The sequence below is a fragment of the Homo sapiens genome, chromosome 5 (assembly GCF_000001405.40).
Source record: "Homo sapiens chromosome 5, GRCh38.p14 Primary Assembly".
Classification (NCBI taxonomy): domain Eukaryota; kingdom Metazoa; phylum Chordata; class Mammalia; order Primates; family Hominidae; genus Homo; species Homo sapiens.
Window position 1 is genome coordinate 92,940,087 of NC_000005.10, and position 19,026 is coordinate 92,959,112.

Below are 19,026 nucleotides of genomic sequence, written 5' to 3' on the forward strand. Positions count from 1 at the left end.
ACCAGACAACCAAAATCTTTCAATTACCAGTTTTTTTGACATTACAAGTGTTCCTCTGATAAATGCTTTTGCTATGTTCTCTCTCTGTCTAGCCCCTGCTTTCTGTATCTCTCCCTCTTATTATTTTTAGGGAAATAAAATAGAAACATACTCTGAAATTAGAGGGCCAATTGTCATCTGGATGATGTTACTTAAGATGATAAAGAAAATACTCATCAAATTATCTTATCAATTTATTAATTTCATCTTAATCTTTAAATATGATGAAAATAGGGGTGATCCAAAAAAGAGACAGCAACAAAAATGCCTATAAACTTAGACAAGGAATTTCAGCCAAAATAAGGTAAAGTAAGGGGTGGCTGCAGCCATGGCTAACTGGAGCATGTGTGCCCATTTATAAAGGAAAATGTCTACTAGTCTCCAGCTAATCACTGTCTGGTGGAAATTCAAGTTCTGCATTGTAAGGCCTATCTGTTTTTCAAAAGGATCCTAATATCTGGATTTTTATATGAAATAATCTTATGCTTTTTAAATATTAGAGAACACTACAGGAGTTAATCCCAACACCTGTGGCCCAGCCTCAGCCTAAGCACTGCCACATAATGACCTCTGATCTAGAATAATATTCAAATAAAACAAACACCGTTGCTGAATCACTACCCTTCATTAATTGTGAGATCTAAGCTGTTTTCTCATAGGTGAACAGGATGGCAATAATGTAGACTAGTCAATTTTAAAAACCTATAATATCCCTTAATAAAGACCTTAGGGAAGGGTATCAACCAAAGGACGGGTAACTGATGTGGGCAAATTGTAGATCAAACGTGAATGCGAAGGGCCAGGTTTATTTAAAAATAATAATAACAAGTGATGTTATGAAGAGAGTGAGGCATTTTATCTTATCTGAATTTCTTACCCTTTACCTAGTAACAATCTTATATAGTAATTACTTTGTTCTAATTGCTAAATGCAGATTTTTAAAAATTCTCGTAATTCCATTAGTAGTAAAATGTTAGTCAACAATTTTCTAAACTAAATTTATTTATACACATACACACATTTTTATCTATCAGTACAATTTTACATGCCTATGCATTTGCATTATATATATATTTACCATTCTTTATAAAAATGATATACTGCATATATTATTTGATAGTCAATTTTTTAATTCAATATTAAATACATAATTAACTCTTTCCCATCAATAATCTTTCACAATGTGAATTTCAATGCCTACATGGTATCTCATTGTTTGGAGATAACATAATTTAACTGGCCAGTTCCCTATTACTAGGTAAATTTTCCCAATTTTTTATTCACAGTAAAGTATCTATAATTAACAACTGCTCATTGATCTTTGCGCACATCTATTATATCTTATCATATCAAAATATATCCCCATTGTTGTGCCAATTTACAGCTCTACAACTGTGATAAGCAAATTTGTTTCCCTGCATTTTCAACAAAATTGGACATAATCATTCTCTCTAATTATTTTAGGTGAAAAAATAGACTGTGTAATAATTTAAACTTTATAAAATAAGTATTGCTTTCATATATACCAGGTAAACTTTCACACATATGAGCTAGATAGTCTTTTTTTTTTTTGAGACAGAGTCTTGCTCACTGCTGCAACCTCCACCTCCTGAGCTCAAGCGATTCTCCTGCCTCAGCCTCCCAAGTAGCTGGGACTACAGACATCCACCACCACACCCAGCTAATTTTATGCATTTTTAGCAGAAACAGTGTTTCACCATGTTGTCTAGGCTGGTCTCAAACTCCTGACCTCACGTTACCCACCACCTCGGCCTCCCAAAGTGCTGGGATTCCAGGCGTGGGCCACTGCGCCTGGCCTGAATGGTAATTTTTCTTAATGTTTTTTTCTTGACTGACTGGCAGGACAGGTTTCTCTAGCAATGCCTCAGAGTCAGAAACTGTAACGGGAAGCAATGGGAACCATCCAAAGATGCCTGTGGCATGGCAGGCGAATACCTGGAAGCCTGCTAGCAGCTCTGGGCCTCTCCCTCGTTAGGTCCCTGATAAAAGGGGCTCCGATCAGACGCTTCATGCATCAGGATTGATCAAGATGGGATACAGGGGGAATTTGTCAGTCATTGAGCTCTTTTCAAGAAATAATCTTTAAAAATTACCAACTGGGGCCTACTAATAACTGGGAAGAGAAATGTGATGGTAGGACTAGTATCCATGGCTTGGCTCAGTGGTTGCCACACACAAGATCCTTTGTAACTGAAATCTCGTCTCTGAGATAACTCAGTCTCCACTCTGTGAGAAGTGATTTCTCTCGACAGACCCAGAATCCACTGCCACTGGACAGGGACCCTCCTGTGCTTCAGTTTTCCACCCACAAAATGGGAATGACAGTTGTAATTATTGGCCTCATACTTCTTATTGTAAAGAGTAAATGTAAACTGATTAGAAGATTGCCTGGCATAGATAAGACCTATATAAATCTGTGTTACTATTATCACCACTGTACTTTATATTCCTCTAGTTTCACAAATCTGACTAAATAATTTATATCTTTATAAATTATATATATTACATAATAATTTATATCTTTCATGTATCTTCAAAAGATGAATTCCATGGGACCAACATTTGTTTTCCTAGGAAATATTAGGCCCTGAATAAATATTTCTTTGATGCTGTATGGATAAATAGATGGAAAAACAAATGAATACATTTTTAACCAAACCAGCAGGCTGAATCTCTTCCTGGCCTGGTTCTTCTTTCTCATTTTTAGCCCCAGTTCTTCTTTCTAGTTTCTAGCCTATTTTCCCTCTCAGTTTGGTTTGGACAGTCTTTCATAAACATATGCACTCCAGTTAAATTAAAACCAACAAAGCTTACACCTAAAGTCAATAGAAATATATTGAACCACAACCATAAACAAGGCACTCATTGTCTTAGAGCTGTTTGCCTCATAGAAGGCATATTTGTCACAGAGGACCTATAGCATGATAACTAATACTTTAACTAGAAAAGGCAAAATTGGTCTTTTCAGCTTAAGGGGAATATTTTTTGTTTTGTGTGAAAGAACATGATTTATCTTTTGAATAAGGGCATCATCAAAACGTGATGATTAGGCACTAACACTACTGTCTTGTAAAACAGGTATCAGTAGGAAGGTAGAACCATATGACCTAGACAATTTAGCTGTTGTACATCAGAGACCTGTGGAAATGCCAAAGGCTAAAAGAAATCTAGTGTGTGATTCAGGTAATTTCAGAGCAGTTTTTAAGGTTTAAGAAGAAATTACTCTTTCTTGTTTGTTTGTTTATTTAGTTAGTTTGGGTAAGGATGGTTTATGCCACATATTAATAGTTCTGTTCCTGGTAGTCTAGTGACTAAGATAAAAATAAAATTTAAAAAAAGTAAAAAAAAGTTCTGACTTTTTTTTGATGGTGATGAATTGATAAATGTGAAAAACAACTAATTCTGCCATTGTTCTGAAAATGACAAATACTATCTTAGCAATGCACTTTCAAAAAGTTCAACCCATTCTTAAAGTGAAATAAACATTGAAAATTCTGTCTTCCATATGAGACAGAGGGAAGAGTTTAGGATAACTACACCTTCATTGCAGAAAGACTATAGTGATGCTTCAGAAAATAATTGGATGCTAAGCATATAGAGAAAAAGTATTTTATTTTATATAATTATTATTTGCCTTTGTATGCAAATAAAAAAAAGTTTATCCAGATAGTCTTTAAACACTGTTGGAAACTCGTGGAAAGAAATGAATAAGTAGTTCTCAGGAATGGATTATATGCCCAGAAGTTTGTCATGTGGTACGTTTTCCTGCATGACCTGAAACGTAAGTTGATTTTTATTCAATTATCTATTAAATATCAGGCAAAAGAAGTCTTCTTATTGGTATTTAAATAGAATTAGAGAATGCTAGATCTTGAAGGGAACGTAGAACTCATCTGATCCAATCCCCTCACTTTTACTGATAAAGGATGGTGAAAATGAAGTTATTAAGCAATTGCCCAAAATTGCAGTTAATAACTGGTGTGGCCAAAACTCAACCTCAAGTTCAGTGCATTTTGAAATAAATATATATATATATATATATTTAATTTTATTTCTATAGACAGTGGTAGGCTCTGATTCCCATAGAGTTGAGAAGCTCAATTAATAAAAATCTAAACTTGACCTGCACACAGGATTTCACTAGGAACCACTGTAGAAAATCACATGCCATCCCCATAGTGTCTGCGGGCCAATCTAACACAATGTATAAATTGGAAGGGACTGCTGCATTTGAACTGAACATAAATCAACAATGAGCACACTCTCACCCAAGACTAAAATGTAGCCACTTATTAAAGTATTAAGATAATTCCACACTAGCTCAAGGGCCTTAAGTGCACCGTCTGTTCCCCACTGCTAAGACCCCAGCCTCCCAATAATTCAGCAAACAAGGTGGGAAGTACTGGCATGACAAAGGTTTCCAACTCCTGCTCTAAGACTGGCTTCCATTCTGATTGTTGGTGCTTATAATTGTTAAATACGTTAATATTATCCCTGGACCCATCCCATCCCTTTCCCTTCTGTAAATGTTGAAGAGCAGCATTGAAGTACCCTGATACATCCCTATTTATCTAAAGATAAGCTAGGCATGATGAATAAGATTTGTTCAATTACTTAGGAAGAACCTGATATTTAATTATTCAGTGTTCCATTGAAAAGTCAGCTAAGATGCTATGCTGAAAAAGCCTACTGTAATTTTTGAAAGATTAAGGCACTTCCAGTTAGAAATAGCACTGAAGTCCAGATAGTGTAAGGTTTCCACAGCAGATCACTTTCTCATGGGCACAATTTTGTACCCTTAGGTAGTAATATCAACAAAAATTGCTGCTGCTTCAAACCAAGAGCACAGTGGACAAGTTAGAGTCTTCAAAACTAAGCAGGAGTACAACTCCTAGCTTCACAATTGCCCCTGAACTCTGTAAAAATTTAGCCCATTACATTGAAGAAACATGTAGTTTAATAAGTGTCAAAACTTATAGGGAAAAGTAGCCTTTGAACCCCTTCCTCCTGAAAAAGAAAAAAAGGAAAGATAACAGTTGAACCAAGTCAGTGGTGAAGATTAAATAGAAACAGGAAATTAGAACTATGAGAAAATATTACATAAAAGGCAAACAAGCACAGAACAAATAAAATAATGCATAACAGGAAGGGATCCAAACCAATACAAACAACTGCAAAGGATCTTCTTGGCAGACTTTCACACACAGAATTTGAGGAGGACAGAAACATTTAATTGTTGAGTAATACTTCTTAAATGATGTTTTACCTCAAGAAAATCGTATCAGTAAAGAATGTGAAAACGGTTGGGCAGCTGCGTCCACCCCTTCTAACCAAAGCCCAGCTGCAGGAAGAAAAGCCAGAAACAAGAGAGGAGACAAAGAATAATGAATGAGAGGATGAAATCCAGAAAAAAGAGAGAAATTATAATGAGACAGTGAAAAATTAAGCTGCAACTCAGAAAGATAGGCCAGAAAAAAAAGCTTTAAACAAACTGTAGTAAATGTAATTTAGAATGTTTTTAAACTCAACTATTGAAAACAAGTCTTTCTGAAACTAATTTGTAAGACTGGCAGATCCTTGAAACTCTTGTCCCAGTGGTGGAATGACTGAAAGACAGCACTATGCACTCACCATGTGGGCTCTCTGTGCTGCCAAGAGCTGTTTATAAAGTGGACTTAACTGAAAAATGGGTGAATATTTGACTAGTGGTTTTCTCTCTGATGTCTGACAAAGACAAAGTACAAAGGCTTGATACTCCTCTGATAAAGCAAAAAGGGAAATTTATTATTTGTATTTAGCAAAGCATATAGGGGAACTTTGTATTCAAATTATGATAGTGACCTAGGTCTTAAAATTTTACAGTAAACAAATGTAGACTATGAGAGAAAATTCTGCTCAGTGTATGGGCTCAGCTATGAGACCACTTATATTTAAAACCCATTCTAACACTTGCTAGCTTTGTGCCTTGAGAGGGTCCCTTTGAATTTCAGATTACTCATAAATAAAATGAGAATCATAATGATGTCTAACTCAGGATTATTGAGAAGATTAAATTAGCTCACCTATGTAAAATCCTTAGTAAAGTGCTTGCCAAGTGACCAGTAAATGATAGCTCTTCTTATTCTGTGTATATTGAATATCCTCTCTGGCACTATTCCAGAAAGATCTACCTCAGTTTGTTTAATATTTAGTGCTTTGTTAATACATATAATGTGTTTAATAAATCAATAACTATTAGATAAGCTAAGATCATGTCTACAATCAGTCAATAAATAAATGTACGTCGAGTACTTTCCTTGGGCTAAGAGTACAATGGAAATTGAACAGTAAATATATGGACCCTACCCAAAAAGTGCTTATTAACTGAATTAATTTGTGACCAATTTCAGAGAGTAAAACTTTATGTTAAAGTAGGTAGTACAAAAATCTATAAGAGGCCCTGTGCGGTGGCTTACGCCTATAATCCTAGGCACAGAGGCCAAGGCGGGTGGATCACCTGAGGTCAGGTGTTTGAGACCAGGCTGGCCAACATAGTGAAACCCTGCCTCTACTAAAAATACAAAAATTAGCCAGGCCTGGTGCCGGGCACCTTTAGTCCCAGCTACTCAGGAGGCTAAGGCAGGAGAATTGCTTGAACAGGGGAGGTGAAAGTTGCAGTAAGCCGAGATCACACCGCTGCACTCCAGCCTGTGCGACGGAGTAAGATCCTGTCTCAATAAAACAACAACAACAACAAAACTATTAGAGTGCAGGGTAAATCAGTGAGAATGAGATGATCAGAGAAGGCTTAAGGGAGGAGGTAGAAAATAAAGGACACCTTGGAGGATGTGTATGATTACGACAGACGTCAAGCAATGAGACATACTTTCTATTAAAGGAAATGATGCTAGCAGGATTATGGGTGAATGCAGAGTATATTTGACATTGGCTTGACTAATATGAATGGAGTTTTAAAAATATTTTTATTGATACATTATATTTATACATAATTATTGGGTACATGTGGTATTTTGTTACATTCTTGAACTGTGTAATGATCAAGGCAGGGTGTTGGTGTGTCCATCACCTCAAGTATTTATCATTCCTGTGTTGGGAACATTTCAAGTCCTCTCATCTAACTATTTTGATATTTACAATACATTATGGTTAACTACAGTCACCCTACTTTGCTATGGAACATTAGAGCTTATTTCTTCTATCTACCTGCATTTGTACTCATTAACTAAACTCTCTTTATCCTCCTTCCACCCCCCCCCGCCCCACACACACACACACTCTTCCCAGCCTCTGGTATCTATCATTCTATTCTCTTCGTTTATGAGATTAAGTTTTTAAGCTCCCACATATGAGTGAGAACATGCAATATTTGTTTTTCTGTTCCTGGCTTATTTCACTGAACATAATGACGTCCATTTCCATCCATGTTGCTGCAAATGACATAATCCCATTTTTCTTTACACCTGAATAGTATTCCATTGTGCATGTAAACCACATTTTCTCTATCCTGACGTCTGCTGATAGAGATTTCGGTGGATTTCACATCTTTCTTATTGTGAATAGTGGTGTGATAAACACACAAATGCAGATATTCCTTTGATTTACTGATTTCCTTTGGATAAATACCCAGTAGTGAGATTACTGGACCATGTGGTATTTCTTTTAGTTTTATGAGAAATTTTCATATTGTTTTCTATATTGGCTAAACTAGTTTGCTTTCCCACCAACAGTGCATGAGTTACCTGTTTTCCACATTCTTGCCAGCATCTGTTTTTTTTTTCTTTTCAATAGTAGCCACTTCAACTGAGGTATAATGATATCTCATTTTGGTTTTGATTTGCATTTCCCTAATGATTAGTGATGTTAAGCATTTTGTCATATATCTGTTGGCCATTTGTGTGTCTTCTTTGGATACATATCTGTTTGTGTCCTTTGCCCACTTTCTAATGGGAAATTTTCACTGTTTCATTGTTTGAGTTCCTCATATATTTTAAATATTAGTCCCCTGTCAGATGAATAGTTTGCAAATATTTTCTCTCAATCAACAGGTTGTCTCTTTACTCTATTGATTGTTTTCTGTGATGGGAGAAGCTCTTTAGTTTAATATTATCCCATTCATCTATTTTTGTTTTTGTTGCCTGTGCTTTCAAGATCGTAACCATAAAATCCTTGCCTAGACCAATGTCCTGAAGTGTTTCCCCTATGTTTTATTCTAGTAGTTTTATAGTTTCTGGTCTTACATTTAAGTCTTTAATCCATCTTACATTGATTTTTGTGTATGGTGAGAAATAAGGCTCCAGTTTCCTTCTTCTGCATATGGATATCTAATTTTCCCAACCAGTATTTATTTATTGTCCTTTTCCCAATGTATGTTCTTGGTGCCTTTGTTGAAGATCAGTTGGCTGTAAATACATGAATTTATTTCTGGGTTCTCTATTCTATTCCACTGGTTTTTGTGTCTGTTTTTATACCAATACCATGCTGTTTTGATTACTATAGCTTTTTAATATATTTTCAAGTCAGATAGTGTAATGCCTCCAGCTTTTTTTCTTTTTGTTCAGGATTGCTTTAGATATTCAAGCTCATTTTTCTTCTATATAAATTTTAGGATTGGTATTTTGATAGAGATTGCATTGAGTCTGTAGATTGCTTTGGGCAGTATGGTCATTTTAACAATATTAATGTTTCCAATCCATGGGCATGAGATATCTTTTTATTTGTTTGTGTTGCCTTTGATTTCTTTCATCAGTGTTTTATAGTTTTTCTTATAAAGGTCATTTACCTTCTTGGTTACATTTATTTCTAGGTATTTTAATTTTTTGTAGCTATTGTAAATGGGATTGCCTTCTTGAGTTCTTTTTCAGCTAGTTCATTATTGGTGTATCAAAATGCTATTTGTTTTTGTATGGTAATTTTGTATCTTGCAACTTTACTGAATTTACTTATCAGATCTAAAAATTTTTTTTTTGCTGGAGTCTTCAGGCTTTTCTAGATATTAAAACATGTCATCTACAAAGAGAAACAATTTGACTTCTTCCTTTCCAATTTGGATGCCTTTTATTTCTTTCTCTTTCCTAATTGCTCTGGCTAGGACTTCCAGGACTATGTTCAATGGGACTGATGAAAGTCAGAATCCTTGCCTTGTTCCAGTTCTTACAGGTAGGTTTTCAGCTTTTCCCCCATTTAATATAATTTTAGCTGGGCTTTGTTATATATGGTCTTTATTGTGTTGAAGTACATACCTACTATACTTAATTTCTAGGGAGTTTTATCATGAAAGAATATTAAATTTTAGCAAATGCTTTTCCTGTGTCTATTTAGATGATTATTTGACTTTTGTCCCTCATTCTGTTGACATAATGTATCACATTTATTTATTTGAGTATGTGGAACTACTCTTGCATTCCTGAGATAAATTTCATTTGGTCATGATGTATTATCTTTTTGATTAGCTGTTGGATTCAGTTTTGTGTTTTATTGAGAATTTTTGCATCTTTGTTCATTAGGGATATTGACCCATAGTTCTTTTTTGTTGTGTCCTTGTCTGTTCTTGGTGTCAGGGTAATCCTGGCCTCATAGACCCAGCTAGAGGGTATTCCCTCCAAATTTTCAGAATAATTTTAGAATTGTTGTTAGTTCTACTTTGAATGTTTGGTAGAATACAGCAATGAAGCCATCAGTCTTGGACTTTTCTTTACTAATAGACTTTTTATTAGTGAATCAATCTCATTGCTTGTTACTGTCTGTTAATGTTTTCTATTTTTTCCTGACCCAATCTTGGTAGACTGTATGTGTCCAGCAATGTATCCATTTTATCTAGGTTTCCCAGTATGTAATAGTCTCTGATGATCTTTTGTCTTTTTGTAGTATCAGTTGAAATGTCACCTTTTTCATTTTTGATTTTATTTCTTTTAGTCATCTCTCTTTATATCTTGATTAGCCTAGCTACCAATTTACTGATTTTGTTTATATTTTCAAAAAACCAACTTTTCATTGAATTGATCCTTTGTATTTTTTGTTTTAGTCTCTATTTCATTTAGTTCTGCTCCTATCTTTATTATTTCTTTCCTTCTACTAGTTTTGAGTTTGGTTCATTCTTGCTCTTCTGATTCCTTGAGGTACATTGTTAGGCTGTCTATTTGGAATCTTTCTTCTTTGATGTAGGCATTTATTGCTGTAAACTTCCCTCTTAACACTACTTTTGCTATATCTCATAGGTTTTGGAATGTCGTGTTTCAATTCTTATTTGTTTCAAGAAAATTTTTAATTTCCTCCTTAATTCCTTCTTTGACCCAAAGGTCATTAAGGAGCACGTTGTTTAATTTCCATGTATTTTGTACAGTTTCTCAAATTCTTGTTATTGACTTCTTGTTTTATTCTACTGTCGTCTGAGAAGATACTTGATGTGATTTCAACTTTTTAAAAAATTTTAAGACTTGTTTCATGCCTAACATATGGGTCTATATGGGATAATGTTCAATGTGCTTGTATTAGTTCATTTTCATACTGCTATAAAGAACTACCTGAGACTGGCTAATCTATGAAGAAAATAGGTTTAATTGATTCGCAGTTCTGCAGGTTTAACAGGAAGCATGACTGGGAGGCCTCAGTTAGCTTACAATTATGGCAGGAGGTGAAGGGGAAGCAAGCACCTTCTTCACATGGTGACAGGAGAGAAAGAGAGAGAGATACCAAGGAGGGAAGTGCCACAAACTTTCAAACCATCAGATCTCATGAGAACTCACCCTATCATAAGAATAGCATGAGGAAAGTCAGCCCCCATGATCCAATAATCTCTCACCTCGTTCCTCCCCCCAACAATGTGAATTACAATTCAATATGAGATTTAGGTGGGGACACAGAGCCAAACCATATCAGTGCTAAGGAGAAGAATGTATATTTTGAAGCTATTGGGTGAAATATTCTGTAAATGTCTGTAAGTCCATTTGGTATAAAGTGCAGTTTAAATCCAGTGTTTCCTTGTTAATTTTCTGTCTAGATGGTCTGTCTAATGTTGAGAGTGGGGTGTTAAATTCCCCAAATATTATTGTATTGGAGTCTATCTCTCCTTTTAGGTCAATAATATTTGCTTATATATTGGACTGCTCCAGTGTTGGGTACGTATATGTTTAGATTGTTATATCATTTTATTGAATTTATTCCTTTATCATTATACAATGACTTTTTGTCTTTCTTTTTTTCTAATGTTTTTGAATTAAAGTCTGTTTTACCTGAGTATAGCTACTCCTGCCCCCTTTTGTTTTGTGCTTGCATTGAATAATTTTTTCCATCTCTTTACTTTCAGTCTATGTGTGTCTTTACATATAAGATGAGTTTCTTGAAGACAATATATAGTGGGGTTATGGTTTTTATTTTTTAATCCATTCAGCCAGTCTATATCTTTTAAGTGGAAAGTTTTATCCATTTACATTCAGGGTTATTATTGATATGTGAGGGCTTATTCTTATTGTTTTATTAATTAATTTCTGGTTGTTTTGTGTATCCTTTGTTCTTTTCTTCCTACCTTATTTTTATCACTGTGGTGTGGTGGTTTTCTGTAGTGGTAACACTTTAGTCCTTTCTCATCCTTATTTGTGTGTTTGCTGTACCAGTGGGTTTTATACTTTCATGAATTTTGATGATGGTAGATGCCAACATTTTGATTCCAGATGTAGGACTCCCTTAAGTATTTTTTATAGGGCTGGTCTAGTGGTAATGAATTCTCTCAGCTTTTGCTTGTCTGGGAAAAACTATTTCTCCCTCATTTATGAATGGCAACTTTGCTGGGTATAGTATCTTTGGCTGTCAAGTTTTTTCTTTCCACACTTTAAATATATCATCCTATTCTCTCTGGGCTTGTAAGGTTTCTACTGAGAAATTTGCTACTAGTCCAATGGGGGTTCCCTTATAAGTAACTATATACTTTTCTCTTGCTGTTTTTAGAATTCTCTTTTTTTTGACATTTGACAGTTTTACCATAATGTGCCATGGAGAAGATATTTTTGAATTGCATGTTTTTAGGTATCTTTGATCTTTCTGTATCTGGATGTCTAAATCTCCTGCTAGTCTTGGGAAATTTGTAGCTATCATTTTATTAAATAGGATTTCTATCTTTTTTGTTTTTTCTATGTGTTCTGGGACACCTGAAAATTTGAATATTGGGTCACTTTATTGTGTTCCATAGTTATGTAGGCCTTGCTCATTCTTTTCAATTCTTTTTTATTTATTTGTGTTTGACTGGGTTATTTCAAAATACCTTTTTTCAAGTTATGAAATTCTTTCTTCCATTTAATCTAGTCTATTATTGAAGTCTTCTAATGTATTTTGTATTTCACAAAATGAATTCTTCAGTTCCAGAATTTCTGTTTGGTTCTTTTGTGTGGCATCTCTTTGATAAATTTTTCATTCATATCCTGAATTATTTTTTTGATTTTTTTATTTTATTTTTTTCTCTATTCTCTTGCATCTCACTGAGATTTTTTGGAATTATTTTGAATTATTTTCCCCAGGTTTTATAAATGTGTTTTTGATTGTAGTCTGCTATTAAATTATTGTATTCCTTTGGAGGTGTCATATTTTCTTGCTCTTTTATGTTTCTTGTGTCTTTAAATCAATATTTGTGCATCCGGTATAACAGTTGTCTCTTCCAATTTTTTGAATTTGCTTTTGTAGGAGAGAAGTTTTCCCTGAAGATATATCTGTGGTGTTGTTTGAGTAGGGTACATTTGCTTTGATTCTAAGCCCATGCAGTAGTGTAGTCTCCATATGATTTCTTCAGCTATAAACAGTGTCAGTGATTTCCTCAGTGGCTTAGGGTGTGGTTGTTAGTGAGGCTATGTGAAGTTTATCTGAGCATGTGGATGTCAGGTGGGTTTGTCCTTGTGCTCCAGTCATGGCAGCAGCAGGCCAAGCATACTTGTCCTTGGGCCCTAGTGTAGCATATGCTGTAACCAGTGTTAGCAGGACTAGGTGACCTGATTCTTGAGCTTAGGTGGTAGTAGTAGCAGCGATGGGCCAGGCAGGTGAGTGAATTCTCTGGTTCCCAAGCAGTCTGCACTGATGTTGACAGTGGCTGCAATGAGCTGAGTGGGCTAATCCCCTGGCCTGCAGGTGGCACACATGCAGATGGATGCCAGCTGTGGTAGTAGAGGTAGGTTGGGTGGGACCAATCTCAGGCCCCCAGGAGATGTACGCAAGCACTAGTGATGGCGAAGTGGCCTACGTGGTCCCCATGTCCCCAGATGGCATGCTCAGGCACTGGGGAGACAGAGTCAGGTTAGGTGGACCTGTCCTCAGACCCCCTAGTTGTGCATGCAGGTATTGGCTATGGTAGGCAGGGACACAGTGATCTCCACACCACCAGCAGAATAATCCAGTGGGAGTGGCAGAAGCTACACTGAAGCCCTGCTACTGGGGAGGGTGACATTGCTTTTAGTGGCAGCAGTACATTTAGGTGGCTGGGGAGTTCATCCTTCTCTCATGCTTTGGCCCTGGTGGTGGCAGCCAGCAGCATGATGGCTGTGGGTTGGGAAGTTTGTTCTTAGGGCACATAAAAATTCATGGTGGCTCTGCTTCTGGGGGGGAGCAGCGCCCTTACCAATGGCTCACACTTCAGCGTTGGCATCAGCAGTCAGCTATAGTGGTGGCCATGGGCAAGGAATGTTAATAAGGCTTCAGGGTTGTGGAGATGAAAGTGCTGTTGGGTCTCTGGGAAGAATGTGTTCTGGTAGGGGCTGGGATCTCAATGTGGTATCTTACTGTAGCTGAGTAGGACTCAGGGGGCTGGGAGGTACGTGGGACATGGTGTGAGCTTCCTCCTAAGAGCAGTGCCTTCACACAGTATTCAGGCATATTCCTATGTTAGTCTCTAACATTCTAAGTGTGATTATCTACTTACTTACTATTATCTACTTACTTACTATTCTTACTATTCTGGTTATTCTTTGGGGATGAGCTAAGTACCAGATGCCTCCAGTCAGCCATCTTGAGCCCCTTTCTTTATAATAAGAGCTGCTATGACAAGATGCATTGAAAGCAATATTCCCTTAGCTCCCAACTTGCTCAACCCAAAAGAGTAATGCATGTAGTTCTGAAGCTGTGAAGTCAAAGATTAAGATGTTGGCATCTTAATCTTGTCTCATGACATCATAGAAATGCCTTCTTGTTGTCTCATTACATGGTAGAAAGTACAAGAACAACAACCTGTGATTGATGTCTTTTGGAGAAAAAAAATAGACAATGGTATTCTTTTGTAGAGTTGGGGTAGGCAGTGGAAGACTTATGAGCCAGAGGAGATTTTGCTTCAAATACTATGATATAAGGATTGTGTATTATTAAATGAGGTGATGTAAACAGTGTTTTATAAAGATTGGCCTTATTAAGGCATCCAGGCAGATCAAAATCAGAAGAGAGTAGAATAAGTAGACTTGGAAGATACTGTAGTTATCTATATGTGAAATTATGACATACTAACTTAGGATGCAAAAGAGAAATGGAGGCTTCACTGTGAGTGAAACAGGAGTCACTAGAGAATTTTGAGCAGACAAGTTATAGGATCTGACTTATCTTTTAATAGGTCACTCTGACTGCTCAGTTGAGAATAAATGCAGAGGGTCAATGGGGGATCAGGAATACTTGGTAGGATATTATTTAAATAGTTCAAAGAGAAATGATGGTGGCTTTGGGCCCCATGATATTGGAAAAGGTGAAAAGCAGTTGGAATGAGTGTATTGTATACAGGTTTTTATAGAAAGGTGTCCTAGGCAGTTGCAGAGGGCTCTGCACTTAGTTTAATGCTCTGCTGTCACAGTCTTGAAATTCTTAGTGATTTTTGAATAGATAATCCTACATTTTTATTTTGCATAAGACCCCACAAATTATGTAGGCAGTTTTGATTGTGAATGTAGATATGACAGGATTTGCTGATATATTGGAGGTGGGATTATGTGAGAGAAAAGAGAGGAGTCAATGATTGCTCCAAAATGTTTGCCCTGATCACTTGGAAGAATAGGTTTACTAAGATGGAAAAGAATGGAAGACACAAAATTATGGAAGAAGGATCAGAAGCTTGATTTTGGATCTATAAAGTGTGGGATGTCTAGAGCATCCAAATAGAGATGTCTGGAGTTTGAAGGAGCATTTCAGGTTGGAGATGTAAGTTTGGAGTTTTCAACATTTGAATGGTAATTGGAGCCATAAAACTGAAAGAAAAAAAATCCACATATGACGTGTAAATTATAAAAGAGAAGTCTAAACACTGAGCCTACCTCCAAACTATAGGTGTCAGGTGATACACACCAGCTTAGGTGACTGTGCAGGATCAACCAGAAAGATACCAGGACATTCTAGAGAAAGAAATCATATCAAGTTTCAGATGAGAGTAAAATGAGTCAGGATTTGACAACTGAATTAACAACATGGAGGTCTTACCTGATAGCTGTTTTCTTGGAGGAGTAGAGGCAAAAGCCTCATTAGGTTGGATTAAAGAGAAAGCGGCAAGAAAGTTTGAAAACAAAAAGGATGAATAACTCTGAGGAATGTTGCTTAAAGGAATGGAAGACAAAGGGGTGAAAGGAAAAGTGAAGGTTGGTACCGCAGTGAAGCTAGCTGGTTTGGGGTCAAAAAATGAAATGTGATTTTTAGATTACCAGTTTGATTTTAGGCACATGGACCTCAAGATTGTGATGAGCTATTTAAAAGGAAATGTCCAGTAGACATCTAGAAAGATGAGAATTGATATTGTCTGAGAAGATAAAATTGAAATTATCCGTGGTTTAGACTTTATTCACACAAAGGCGCTATTTGGAGCTGTAAAAATAAATTAACCTGGAATAAAAGTGTAAAAAGAACAATAGAAGATTGAACAAACCAATGTTCTGAGTAAGGTAATAAAACAAAATGAAAAGCACTGGCCTATATTCCCAAACTTAACGCCATTTAGGCATAGCTGAATTTCCATTGGCAAATTAAGGTAATTATCTGAATAATTAAATATCCACACAAAAGCTTTAGTATAAATTAGCTAGATCTTTTATACAAAAAGAGTCTCTATTATATATGAAAAACTCTATTATTGGATTCATTTTGTCAGCTTTTCTCAGTTGACTGACACAGACTGGCTACAAGTGATTTACCTTCTTTAAAAGAGGCTATTTAAAAATAAAACAAACTAGAAATCACTACCTGCTAACTGACCTCTGGGACGTTATCTTGATTTGGATTTTTTTATCTCTAAAATTGGGATTTTTAGCATAAGGTGAAGGAGCAAACAAGACAACATAATTTGGGCTAAAGCATCCTCTTTGTTTATGCAAGTATCAATGAAGGAAACTGACCAGCGATGATTGCCTTTTACCAAGGATCTGGCAAAATCTGCAGTTCTTGCCTAATGGGCTTTGTAAATTTTAAAACAAAATCAAAGGGGTAATAGCTTTCTTAGCAAAAACCTGCCACACACATATACACAGAAGAAAAAAGGAAGGCCAGTCCAACAGCCCTAGAAGTGAAGTAAAATCTGGGCCTCTTTGATTGCAGAAGAATAGTCAATCACGTTAGTCACTGAAAGGACGCTGAAGACAGCAGGCTAACACCTTAGTAGGCGCACACTGCTTAGAGCAAATAGAACAGTTCAGATTTGGGGCATTGGATGTTCATGTTTTCCTTTGTTTTCAAAGATGATCACGCTGACAATGATTATTGTCTAAGGATCATAATCTAAGAAGCATTATATAGAAACATAAGAAATGTCACATTGGAACTGACAAATGAGCCTTATTACAGCTCTGACAGTGGCACCAAGGGACATTTTGTGGCACAGCGTGAAAGTTACTCTGGCAACCAACAGAATATTACTACTTTTTCACCTCAAAATTCTCCCCCCGCTTTTTGAGGCGCTTCAGTAAAGAGCTCAAGAAGAGGACCTGGGAAGCCAGCCAGAAGAATGTACTTGGCGTATCCCTGCTTCCTCTGTGCCTGGGGAGGTAGGGATGATAACAGCTTCACTTGTGGGGTGGAGGGTGGCAGGAAATCTTTACAGGAGAAACCAACACATCAATGTTCTTCGAGGCACACAGGCAGTGTTCTCTAAAATGTCATCATCTAAGCATAGGTGGTATTTATTGTTTTTTTGGATATGCAAGAAGATTTCTCAAACTCATATTTCTCATTATCTCTCTAACCTTGGCCTGTGCATTCACCACATGCGCACCCAGCTTTTCTCAGAGTTCCTCACCTGGGCCACAGAACTCAGAAAAAAATAATTCAGGTGACAAAATTGCACCATTTTAGAAGCAAAAGAGACAAGTTCATTTACTTCATGCAATGGATGCTTTAGGGTTTAGTGCTCCTGAGGAAAGCTGGCTGGACTGTGATTGGGGGTGAGGGGGAATCCCAGCAGATTTAATCACAAATGTCAGGAAACAGCAACTTTCTTTCCACTGTGTCAAGTTGGAATGATGTAAACCTGGAACCGGTGGTGAGTGTGTTCCTTACCTACATGGAGGGTGTCTCTCTGCATAGGAGGGAAGGAGACCACTTTACAAGAAGCAGAGAAGAACAAGTGAGAGAAGGGGAGCTAGAGCCAGAGCAAGAGAGCTAGAGCAGCCTGACAACATTGTTTGAGTCTCTAGGTCCACAGAAGCCAAATGCAATCCCACACTGAGTTCACTGGTTACATGAGCCCGTGGATTTTATTTTTCCTAAGACTACTTTGCATTGGTTTCTATCACATGCAAATGAAGACTCCAGAATAATATCATAGAAATGTATTGTTGCAATAAACCAACATATAGGAAAAAATTTAACCTTTAAATTCTGAAATCATCAGATTAAAACAACAAAGATGTGCTTTCTTCCTCTTGCCCTAATTTCCTTTTATTAATAGTAATAGCTATAACATTTTATGTACCTACTATGTATACGCTCTCTGCTAGGCTCTACACAATAACAAGCCTGTGGCAATTCTATAAAGTTAGAATTACATCTATTAGAGTGAACTAAGGTTCAGAGAGATTATGTAGTTTGTATAAAATTACAACTCTAACAAATTCTAATCAGAGATGAGATTTTTGTCTTAGCTTTATCATAACCATTAAATTATAGAACTCAGCCAATAGGTATTAAAAATAAGTATATGTATCATGGTAGCTATCAGTCTTCTATCTGCCACTGGGTCCTTTCATATGTACATGGAATTCTAGACATCCAATGCCAAACTCATCTCAGTCCCCTCCCCCACCAAATCTGCCCCAACAACCCCTCACTTATTCTGAATCTTAAGGGAAATGAAGGTATCTACTCAGTGTTTGAGCCAGAATCCTAGAAGTCAGTCTCATTCCTCTTTTTTATTTTTTGAAGAGTAAAGCAGTGTTTTTTTTTAAAACTTCTTATTTATTCATTTATTTTTGTTTTATTTTTAATTTATAAATAATAGTTATACATACTTATGGGGTACAATGTGATGTTTTGAAATAGGTGTACATTGTGAAATTATTCTATTAAGCTAATTAACATGTTCATCACTTCACATGCTTATCATTTTTATAGTCAAAACATTTAAAATCTATTTGCAATTTTGAAATATACAATACTTTATCATTAATGTTTCCTCACTCTTAACTTCCACAGTTAACCCTTGAATCTATCAATTCCACCTTGCCAAAAAGTTCACATCTACCCTGTTTTGACAGTCATCAGCACACAACTGGGTTACTCAGATCAGACTTCCTTCCTGGTCTCTCGAAATCTAATTTTCCCCACCCAATTCCAACCCTTACCTTCAACTTACCTTTCATTCTACTATTAGAGAGCTCTTTCTAGTGTGCAAATCTGATCTCCCCCAAACACTTCAGAGGCTTCTAATGACAACAGACTCCATGACATACTAAAAACCTTATGAAGGGGCCCTGCCTATCTATCCAAATTCATTTCTAATCATTTCCCCTTCATGCTTTAAGCTCCAGACGCACTGAA